The 10,013-nt window shown below is 53.8% G+C and overlaps 1 protein-coding gene across 6 annotated transcripts in view, besides 4 other annotated features; it reads right to left on the reverse strand.

The window, feature by feature from the left end:
* The window catches only part of LRRC75A (leucine rich repeat containing 75A), a 50,617-nt gene that overhangs the window by 33,989 nt on the left and 6,615 nt on the right, over positions 1 to 10,013 (reverse strand). The window contains exons 1-2 of one of the 6 annotated variants that reach the window (XM_017024620.2): positions 9,246 to 9,960; positions 8,196 to 8,313 (exon numbers count right to left, since the gene is read on the reverse strand). The exons of 3 other annotated variants lie outside the window; for them this stretch is intronic. In XM_017024620.2, the coding sequence (XP_016880109.1) occupies positions 8,196 to 8,313; positions 9,246 to 9,247 (120 nt within the window). In that variant the 5' untranslated portion in view covers positions 9,248 to 9,960. Of the gene's footprint in view, positions 1 to 8,195; positions 8,539 to 9,245; positions 9,961 to 10,013 lie in introns of those variants that run through there. 2 more of the 6 variants (XM_047435961.1, XM_017024619.2) reach the window with 2 other exon arrangements.
* Positions 908 to 1,819: an enhancer, noted in NCBI's record as "H3K27ac-H3K4me1 hESC enhancer chr17:16379787-16380698 (GRCh37/hg19 assembly coordinates)". NCBI's record gives its function as "activates a minimal SCP1, AML or CMV promoter by ChIP-STARR-seq in primed H9 embryonic stem cells {active_cell/tissue: H9 hESC(primed)}" and the evidence as "EXISTENCE:reporter gene assay evidence [ECO:0000049][PMID:30033119]".
* Positions 1,820 to 2,730: an enhancer, noted in NCBI's record as "H3K27ac-H3K4me1 hESC enhancer chr17:16380699-16381609 (GRCh37/hg19 assembly coordinates)". NCBI's record gives its function as "activates a minimal SCP1, AML or CMV promoter by ChIP-STARR-seq in primed H9 embryonic stem cells {active_cell/tissue: H9 hESC(primed)}" and the evidence as "EXISTENCE:reporter gene assay evidence [ECO:0000049][PMID:30033119]".
* Positions 7,490 to 8,306: an enhancer, noted in NCBI's record as "H3K27ac-H3K4me1 hESC enhancer chr17:16386369-16387185 (GRCh37/hg19 assembly coordinates)". NCBI's record gives its function as "activates a minimal SCP1, AML or CMV promoter by ChIP-STARR-seq in primed H9 embryonic stem cells {active_cell/tissue: H9 hESC(primed)}" and the evidence as "EXISTENCE:reporter gene assay evidence [ECO:0000049][PMID:30033119]".
* Positions 8,563 to 9,489: an enhancer, noted in NCBI's record as "H3K27ac-H3K4me1 hESC enhancer chr17:16387442-16388368 (GRCh37/hg19 assembly coordinates)". NCBI's record gives its function as "activates a minimal SCP1, AML or CMV promoter by ChIP-STARR-seq in naive H9 embryonic stem cells {active_cell/tissue: H9 hESC(naive)}" and the evidence as "EXISTENCE:reporter gene assay evidence [ECO:0000049][PMID:30033119]".

Here is a 10,013-nt window from a genome sequence, read left to right on the forward strand (position 1 = left end):
GCTTTTGAGACAGAGTCTCTCTGTCACCCAGGCTACAGTGTGGTGGTGTGATCCTAGCTCACTGCAGCCTGGAACTTCTGTACTCCTGTAGTCCCGCTATTTGGGAGGCTGATCCTCCTGCCTCAGCCCCCTGAATAGCTGAGACTACAGGTACGTGCTACCACACCAGCTAATTAAAAAAAAAAATTTTGTAGAAACGGGCTGAGCACGGTGATTCACGACTATAATCCCAGCACTTTGGGAGGCTGAGGTGGGCGGATCACCTGAGGTCCAGAGTTTGAGACCGGCCTGGTCAACATGGTGAAACTCCCTCTCTACTAAAAATATAAAAATTAGCTGGGTGTTGGCCGGGCATGGTGGCTCATGCCTGTAATCCCAGCACTTTGGGAGACCGAGGTGGGTGGATCATGAGGTCAGGAGATCTAGACCATCCTGGCTAACATGGTGAAACCCCATCTCTACTAAAAAATAAAATAAAAATTAGCTGGGTGTGATGGCAGGTGCCTATAGTCCCAGCTACTTGGGAGGCTGAGGCAGGAGAATGGCATGAATCCGGGAGGCGGAGCTTGCAGTGAGCTGAGATTGCACCACTGCACTCCAGCCTGGGCAAAGAGCAAGACTCCATCTCAAAATAATAATAATAATAATAAAAATTAGCTGGGTGTGGTGGCACATGCCTGTAATCCCAGCTACTTGGGAGGCTGAGGCAGAAGAATCACTTGAACCCGGGAGGTGGAGGTTGCAGTGAGTTGAGGTTGCACCACTGCACTCCAGCCTGGGTGATGGAGTGAGACTCTGTCTCAAAAAAAAAAATTTTTTTTTTTTTGTAGAAATGGAGTCTTGCTTTGTTTGCCTAGGCTGGTCTTGAACTCCTGGCATCAAGCAATCCTCCCGCTGTGGCCTCCCAAAGGGCTGAGATTACAGGAGTGAGCCACTGCACCTGGCTTTATTTGGCTTTTGTTTTTACTCAAAGTCTACTGATTTCACATGTAGGTATTTCAGATTTCTTTTTTTTTTGAGGCTGAATTTCACTCTGTCACCCAGGCTGGAGTGCAGTGGCGTGACCTCGGCTCACTGCAACCTCTGCCTCCCCAAGTTCAAGCAATTCTCCTACCTCAGTCTTTCGAGTAGCTGAGATTACAGGTGCCCGTCACCATGCCTGGCTGATTTTTTTTTTTTTTTTTTTTTTTTGAGACAGAGTCTTGCTCTATCACCCAGGCTGGAGTGCAGTAGCACAATCTCGGCTCACTGCAAGCTCCGCCTCCCGGGTTCACGCCATTCTCCTGCCTCAGCCTCCCAAGTAGCTGGGACCACAGGCGCCCACCACCACGCCTGGCTAATTTTTTGTATTTTTAGTAGAGACGGGGTTTCACCGTGTTAGCCAGGATGGTCTCAATCTCCTGACCTTGTGATCCGCCCGCCTTGGCCTCCCAAAGTGCTGGGATTACAGGCGTGAGCCACTGCGCCCGGCCATGCCTGGCTGATTTTTGTAGTTTTAGTAGAGACCGGGGGTTTTACCATGTTGGGCAGGCTGGCCTCAAACTCCTGAGCTCAAGTGATCTACCCGCCTGGGCTTCCCGAAGTTCTGGGATTACAGGCATAAGCCACCATGCCTAGCCTCAGATGTTAATCACATCTGAAAAATACCTTCACAGCAGCATCTAGACTAGTGTTTGACCCAAAATTGGGCACCACAACCTAGCTAGGCTGACACATAAAATTAACCATCACAAGCTAAGCGTCTTCACCACTTTAAATCTCTAGGTCAGAGGCAAGGCCAAGGCCAAGGCCAGACCTCCAAGAATCTGGATTCAGACCTCTTGCTGCCCTCCCTCTGGGTGAGCAGAGATGAGTCATGCTGGATGAGGAATCCAGCTCCAATCCAGCTAGCTTTCAACTTCAGGCAGGAAGGGGAGACCAGGCGGGATAGAGGAGGAGGGCCGTAGGATCCACAACTGTGGCCAGGATGAGGCCCTGCCTGTGCTCTTCCACCTCTCCACGCTTGGCCACTTTCCCCAAGACCTTTCAAAAATGTGCTCTGGGCAGTGGGGAGGGCAGAAGCCGGCCCAGGAAGGGAGCCACAGATGCCCTTCCAGGGGCCTTCCCAGCAGGAGCCAGGAGGAACACCAAGGGGCTGCCAGACTGCCAGACCCCTGCAGCCAGGCAGAATAGTTCCCATCTTAGGGCCCTGCTTCTCAGGGCCTGATTCTCCCCGCAAAGGTGGAAAATCAGCGAGGCTTCCGGGCTGCAGAAGAGGGCATGGGGTGGGGGTGGCGTCCTCAGGGCTGGGAGGGGCCTATACCTGGTTTCTCAGTGGTCACTGAGTTTGTCTACAGCTTCGAGACACCGGGAGGGAGGAGGTAGGAGCTGTGGGTGGGAGTGGCGGTGGGTGAGGCAAGACAGCCAATGCAATGGGTCAGGCAAAGGCCCTGAGCTTCCTGCAGCATCTCAGGCCTCTCTCTCCATCCAGCGTCCCTGCTCTCACCCTGAGGGTCTCTCTCGGTGGACTCCCTCCCTCAGAGCATGGCCCAGGTAGAGACTTAGAGCATTTTGCTGCATACCTGCTCTCAGGTCCCCAACCAGCTGCCCACACTCCACCTCTTGCCCATTTTCTTCTTTTTTTTTCTTTTTTTTTTTTTTGAGATGGAGTCTTGCTTTGTCACCCAGGTTGGAGTGCAGTGGCGTCATCTCGGCTCACTGCAACCTTCGCCTCCCAAGTTTAAGCGATTCTCCTGCCTCAGCCTCCCAAGTAGTTGGGATTAGGCACACACTACCACGCTCAGCTAATTTTTGTATTTTTAGTAGAGATGGGATTTAACTATGTTGGTCAGGCTGAACTTGAACTCCTGACTACAGGTGATCTGCCTGCCTCAGCTTCCCAAAGTGCTGGGATTACAGGAGTGAGCCGCTGTGCCTGGCCTCCCATTTTCTAAAAGAGTCTAATTCCAGTCCAAAGTCCCTCCCTGCTCCGTGTGCCCATTACCTTCAGAGAGCCCTCTTCTGGTCCTGGCTCATGGACTGGCCTCTCCCTAAGACATGCGACACCAAAGCCATTTCTATTCGCCTCGCCCTGCTGGACCTTTTCTGGAGAGATGGGAATTCTTGGAACAGGTAACTTACTGTCTTTCGTGTCTGAGTTTCCATGTCCCAAACCAACCCCTCTGAGTTCCTGCTGGTCTGTCTTGGGCCAATAGCTGTCTGGAAACCCCACCAGTGAGAATCCTGCCTAAGACTGTTTTTACTCCGAAACGCCACAATGCCAGAAGGCTGTGGAAAACATAAGTCTGCAGCTGAGAATCATAAAAAGTTCAGAGGACTGGCACGTCCTAGGAAAAACTAAATCGACTGGAGTGACTAAGCCTGAAGAAGTGGAAGTTACTTACCGGGGTGGGAGCACTCAGACCTCATTCCCCCAGAACTGCTAGAGGCAAGGATATGAACAGTCTGGGAAGCTTGAGGGGAATCCTGGACCCCTGCAATACTGCAGGGTCCGGGGCTCATGGAAGCCCAACAAGGAAACCCTGATGCCTCCGCTGGTGCCCTCGGTGCCCCTGACTGGGTGAGTCCAGATCCACTCAGGTTGTCTTAGATTCTGTCTGATCCTCTTTGAGAGCCAGAGACAAGGAGTGGCCTGTGCAGGGTCATACAGGACTGGTAGCTGGAACTTTCTAGAAGATTCCCAATTGCTTCAGCTCCTCGATTCAAGAGAAAGAGGGCAAGTACCCGCCTGAGAGGCACAGTGTTCCACAGTTCATTGCCTCAGGTGATTTGAGAAGGCTGTGCCCAAGAAGATGCATGGGAGAAGGGCTAAAGCTCATTAAAGGCCTCAGCTGATACTCTAAACTTCTGTGTGGTCTCACCAAGGCTGCCAAGTACAGCTGTGCAGGGCATGTACTGCACAAGGGTGTCTGAGCGGGGCTGAACTCACCAAGCCTTGACTCTGGCTGTGCCCAACCAGACAGGCACCTTCTTCCACTTCTCATAAAGGCACTCTATGGGCTAGAAGCCACATTCCACCTCAGTGAAGGAAACCAAGGGGATAGGCATCCTTGAGTGACCTGACTCAGTCACTGAATGGCCTCTACACCCCCAAGTCCTTGGTTTTCCTGGGCTGCCAGCAGCAGAGCTGTAGCGAAAATCTAACATGGAGGCAGCGAGCTCATGAAGCTTGCCCCTCGCTGGGAACACCTCTTCAGGTCATGGTCCTGCTCTCTGCTTCCTCCAACACTAGGTCATCATTGTCATGACCACCACCATCTCAACATCTTACTTTAAGAAATAAACTGTTGAAAAAGTGTCATTTGGAGCAGGGGTCCCAAACCCCCAAGCCACAGACCAGTACCAGTCTGTGACCTGTTAGGAAGCAGGCTGCACAGCAGGACGTGAACAGTGGGCCAGTGTTCCCACCTGAGCTCCGCCTCCTGTCAGATCAGTGGCAGCATTAGGCTCTCATAGGAGCACAAACCCTATTGTAACCTGCACACGTGAGGGATCTAGGTTGCACACTTATGAGAATCTAATGCCTGATGATTTCTCCCTGTCTCCTGTCACCCCAGATGGGACCGTCTAGTTGCAGGAAAAGAAGCTCAGCGCCCTCACTGATTCCACATTATGGGGAGTTGTATAATTATTTCATTATATTACAATGCGGTAATAACAGAAATAAAGTACACAATAAGTGTAATGTGTTTAAATCATCTCAAAACCATCCCCCACCCCGGGCCATGGAAAAACTGTCTTCCAGGAAACTGGTCCCTGGTGCCAAAAAGATTGGAGACCGCTGCCCGGGCACGGTGGCTCATGCCTGTAATCCTAGCACTTTGGGAGGCCGAGGTGGGCGGAATGCCTGAGCTCAGGAGTTCGAGACCAGCCTGAGCAACACGGTGAAACCCCATATCTACTAAAATACAAAAATTAGCCGGGCATGGTGGCATGCGCCTGTAATCCCAGCTACTCGGGAGGCTGAGACAGGAGAATCACTTGAACCCAGGAGGTGGAGGTTGCAGTGAGCTGAGATTGCACCACTGCACTCTAGCCTGGGCAACAAGAGCGAGACTTCGTCTCAAAAAAAAAAAAACAAAAAAAAAAAACTGGAGACCACTGACAGGGAATACACTCAAGGTAACTATGCTCCCCATTCTTCCCCTCTCCTGAGGCTGTCCCTCCCCATCTCCTTCTCCTGCTACAGGGAAGGGGCAGCACAGGTCCTCTGTGCCCCAGAGCCCCTCTTCTACCCTGCCTGTGACGAGGGAAGTCAGGCCACCTGTCCCAACCTGAGGAAGCTCAGAAAACACCAAGTTTTTCACTGGGACAGACCCAGGCATCACTTCCAGTACTTCTCCAGGGACCACTGGGCTGGGCAGGGTCTTGGGAATTGGGGACCTGGTCCCAGTCCTGTGTGACCCTGCACAGGCCACTCCTTGTCTCTGGGCTGTGTGCGCCTCTGTCAAACATCTCAGCTCTGACTGCAGCAGGTCTTCTCACCAAAGGAGCCGTGGAACCCCTCCTGCTGCCATTTCCTCCAGTGAGGGAGAGGGGCAGAGGCAGATCCAGGCCCCTTGGCCTTCTAAGGACATTAGAGCCTCAGCGCTGCCTGTCCTCTGATGGCAGCGAGCCAGGACCATTGCCAGGAGAGAGCCGGTAAGAACACAATGTGCAAGGCAGCCAGGTAGCCTATTACAAGGCCACAGGACTACACCAGGTACCAGCACCTACCTGGTGCCAGGTGAGATGAGAGCCCCTCCATGCTTCCCTCTCTGTGGCCCCTGCTCTCTCCTGCCCGCTCACAGGAAGTGTGATAGTCAACTGTAGGTGTTTATACATGTAAATCTCCTTTTGAGTCTGTTTCTGTGGAGAACCCTAATACAGGAAGTAACATCCCTACGGGAAGACATTAAGAGCCTTAAGCAGCAAATTATGAACCAATTTCAGGAGCATCTCTCTGTCATGCTGAGTCCACTGTAGGCCCTTCCATAGGAATGCAGAGCTTCAATCTTCCACACCTGGGCCCCGGCAGGTGCACTGCAGGAGGATTCACTGGCTACCCCCTGCCTCCCCCATGATGGCCTGGCAGGAGAAGGTGTCTGTGGGTCGGCAAGATGGCCCTGGCATTCAGCACAGGAGGGGAGACATGTCTCCTCCCCGAGCCCTGTCTGTGCTTGTCCTCATCCTGCATCTGAGCTACAGGCCCTCCAGACAGTGGGGCAGGCAGCTCCAGGCTGACCATTTACCATGAGGAAATCAGAAACAGAGGTTTTGTTTCCAGCTGCCCAGCCCACCACAGAGCCCTGCCTCCCCAGGAGCACCTGCAGCTCCTGTTCCCCTGATTCCCCCACCATCTACAATACAGCCCTTTCCATAGTCCGCATACGCAGAGGACTCCCCAGGTCCCCATGGGGAAAGGGGTGTTGGGGGTACTGCCAGGTGCGCGGTGTCTACTGGGCGGTCTAGGTCCAGGGCAGGAATTCTGACTGTTACGCTTGGTGTGGGGCAGGACCTCCTGGGCCCTTACCTGCCCCCGGTGCCAATGGAGAGAAACCTGCCCCACTCCTGCCCCTTTCTATTGGGTAGGGCCTGAACCTGGGGCTCCAGGAGGCTGTGACTGCATAGACAGAAACTAAGGGCAGTGGGGTGGGATGGGGGGCATCACAGGTTGCCGACTTCCCAGGCTGCAAGTGCTGGCTCCCTGTGGTGCTGGGTGTCCTTCAGTGGACGAGGGTGTCCTGCAAGCCTCCTTGGCACCTGTATCTGTGGGTGGAGGCTCCATGGGGACAGCGGCTATGGGGTGGGAATGTGCCTGGAGGGGGCACTGCAGGGGGTTCCGAGATAGCTGGGGGCTCTTCCCACAGGTCCCTGGCATGCTCTGGGAGAGACCTGGGCTGAGGGCCGTGGGAAGGCCAAGTGGGCAGGAGAGGGACAGGCTTGAGGACCAGGGCCGCTGGGAGGCACCAGCAGAGCAGGTCAGGCAAGCCCACCTAGGAAGTGGGGGAGACGGGGCTTCCCACAGGTCCTGGGCCTAGCGCCTGTGTCCACTCATGAGCCCCACTGAGGAAAGGGGTTTGCCCAGCAGCCAGTGTGTGCCGTGCCCTGCACCTGTGTAGGCCCCCATGGCCAGAGACAAGGGCAGAGCTGGAATCTGACCATGGCCAGCCCTGCAGTCACTTGCCAGTCCTCTATGGCATCAGCGACTGCCCTGAGCCCTTCTAGAAATTAGCATCTTGGCCGGCCCTGCTTTCCCTACTTGTCCCAACTGGTGCCAGCTCCACTTAGGTGCCCAGGGACGTATGCTGAGTGAAAGAACCAAGTACTAGTGCACAGTCAGGTGCCAGGCAGGGTTCTTGCCCTCTGAAGGCAAAGGTCCTGAAGCTCGGCTGGGGCTGGCAGGTCTGGGTCTCTGTGGACAGGACAGAGGCTGGAGTGGGGACAGGCTCCATCCAGACGAGCATGGAGAGCAGCCCCTCAGAGAAGGAAGCCAGAGTGGGAAGTAGAGGGAGGGGAGAGAGACCAGATGTGCAAGGGGCCAGAGCAGCCCCACAGTAGGCAGAAAGGTGGCAAGGGAGCCAGGCACTGAGTCATGTGGACAGCAGGTCCCAGCAGAGCCTGCCCCAGCCTCATTACCCTCCCCAGTGCTCTGAGATGAATGGTTTGTGGCACACAGGGCAGCTCGGGCCTCTGTGAGGGCTGGGCTTTGCTCATGTGTGAAAGTCTGCAGGTTCCCTGGTTCTGGCCTCTGCCCCTGGCACCATGTGATGTGGCCTTTCACCCTCCGTCAGCTAGGACTGCGGTCAGCACAGACAGGTTGGCCTCGGCAGTATGGGGGTCGGCCCCAGTACCTGGTGGGGAGGTATCTGTCCCCTCTCTGTCCTGGGACCGCTGCATCCCAGCTCTTGCACCAGCTGAGGCCAAGGTGGGTGACCTTAGGGTTCGAATGTGAATCTGGCTCAGGGCCTGGAAGAAATAACTGACCACACATGGGAATGAATGGGTCTTTCCAAAACCACAGGCACCTGGTGGAATCTCAGCAGTGGTAGGGAAACTCAGGGGTCATTTCGCCCACCACTCCTTCATTCTGGAACTGGGGAAACTGAGGCCAAAGAAGGGAAAGGGCTGGGCAAGTTAGGGTTTCCACTGGGGCCAGAACTGAGGGCTCCTGGCTCCCAGTGAAGCCAGCCTCCCTTCTGTGCCACGCTGCGCACCTGTACTGGTGGTGGCTTCTGGGGTCCTTGCCATCCCTCCCGGAGGAAGGGAAACAGCTGCTGCCATGGTTTTCTCCTGGTGGGTTGCCTGTTGCATCCCCAGTTCCTAGACTGGTGCCTGGAGGAACAGGAACTCGATTGTTGAATAAATGATTTAATGCATACTACTTTTTTAATTTTCTGCTCATCTAATTTTCTCATTTTTCTATAATTGTATATTGCTTTTATAATATTTTAAAAACCACCATTTTTACTTTAAGCAACATTGTGTCAACTTCACAAAACCACCTAATGAGGCCGGGTACAGTGGCTCACGCTTGTAATCCCAGCACTTTGGGAGGCTGAGGTGGGCGGATCATGAAGTCAAGAGATCGAGACCATCCTGGCCAACATAGTGAAACCCCGTCTCTACTAAAAATACAAAAATTAGCCAGGCATGGTGGTGTGCGCATATAATCCCAGCTACTCAGGAGGCTGAGGCAGGAGAATTGCTTGAACCTGGGAGGTGGAGGTTGTAGTAAGCCAAGATGGCGCCATTGCACTCCAGCCTGGCGACAGAGCGAGACTCCGTCTCAAAAACAAACAAACAAACAAACAAACAAAAAACAAAAAAAAATCCACCCCCTAAGCAGCAAAATAAACATGAGAAAAGGCTTTATGGACTAGAAAGCCATGTGCAGATTGGGGAGGTGTCCCTAATGCCTGCTCTCCTGCCCAAGGCACGGCTGACACTCAGACAATCAAATCGAGCCGGGCACCCTTCTTGACCGCCACCAACCACTTCCAGTTCTCATGGCCCCACTCCCCCACCTTCCCGCTGGCAAAGGATGGGAGGCTGAGAGGGGAGCTGACCAAGATCCGGCAGAGGAACAAGAGTCTGCTTCTCACCCAGGGAAGGGAAAAACACACAGCAGGGAAGACAAAATGAAAGAAACAGAGACACAAAGAAAAGCTGCAGGGAGTGGGAGGCAGAGAGGCAGAAAGACACGCGGACACTGAGGGCCGAGCAGGAGCGAGGGGCAGCTCTGAAGGTGGCCCCAACACACTCACATACGAGGGCACTCCCCACTCTCAGCTGTGCTCCTGTGTCTCTCCTGGTTAAGATAAAGTTAGAAACAACAAAATGCCACATCTCTTTGAGCAGCAGCCGTCGGCAGAGCTCCATATGGCTGCAGCAGCCAGGAGTCTGAGCTAATAAAAGTTAAAAAAAAAAAAAAAAAGCTGGGAAATGCTCCTGGAGAGCCACGTGGGCACTGCTCAGGGCCGGGTGGGGGTAGGGAGGAGAGCAGGCACCATAGGAGGGGGTCCCCGCCCCTGCTTGGCGCGCCAAGGTCTCTGTTCTCATTCAGAACACCCAGCCCTTCTAGTAATGGTGAGTCCAAGACGCAGCAACCAAATGTGCTGTTTTAGATGCCTGGGCCCTCTCCTACCTCCATTCCAGTTTCTCTTAATGGGAGAGGATATGACAGTCAGTGCTGAAAGTTTGCGTCCCCTCCTCTCCATTCTCAAATGTATATGTTGAAATCCTAACCCCCAAGGTGATGGTATCGGGAGGTGGGGCCTACGGGAGGTGATTCAGTCATAAGGCTAAAGCCCTCATGAATGGGATTGGTGCCCATATAAAAGAGACCCCAGAGAGACCCTTCATTCCTTCCACCATGCCAGAATGCAGCGAGAGGGTACCATCACCAGAAAGCAGCCTCACCACACAGTGAATCTGCCAGCACCTTCATCTTGGACTTTCCAGACTCCAGACTGTGAGAAATAAGTATCTGCTGTTTATAAGCCACCCAGTTTATGGTATTTTGTTATAGCAGC

Source organism: Homo sapiens, chromosome 17 (assembly GCF_000001405.40).
Source record: "Homo sapiens chromosome 17, GRCh38.p14 Primary Assembly".
Classification (NCBI taxonomy): domain Eukaryota; kingdom Metazoa; phylum Chordata; class Mammalia; order Primates; family Hominidae; genus Homo; species Homo sapiens.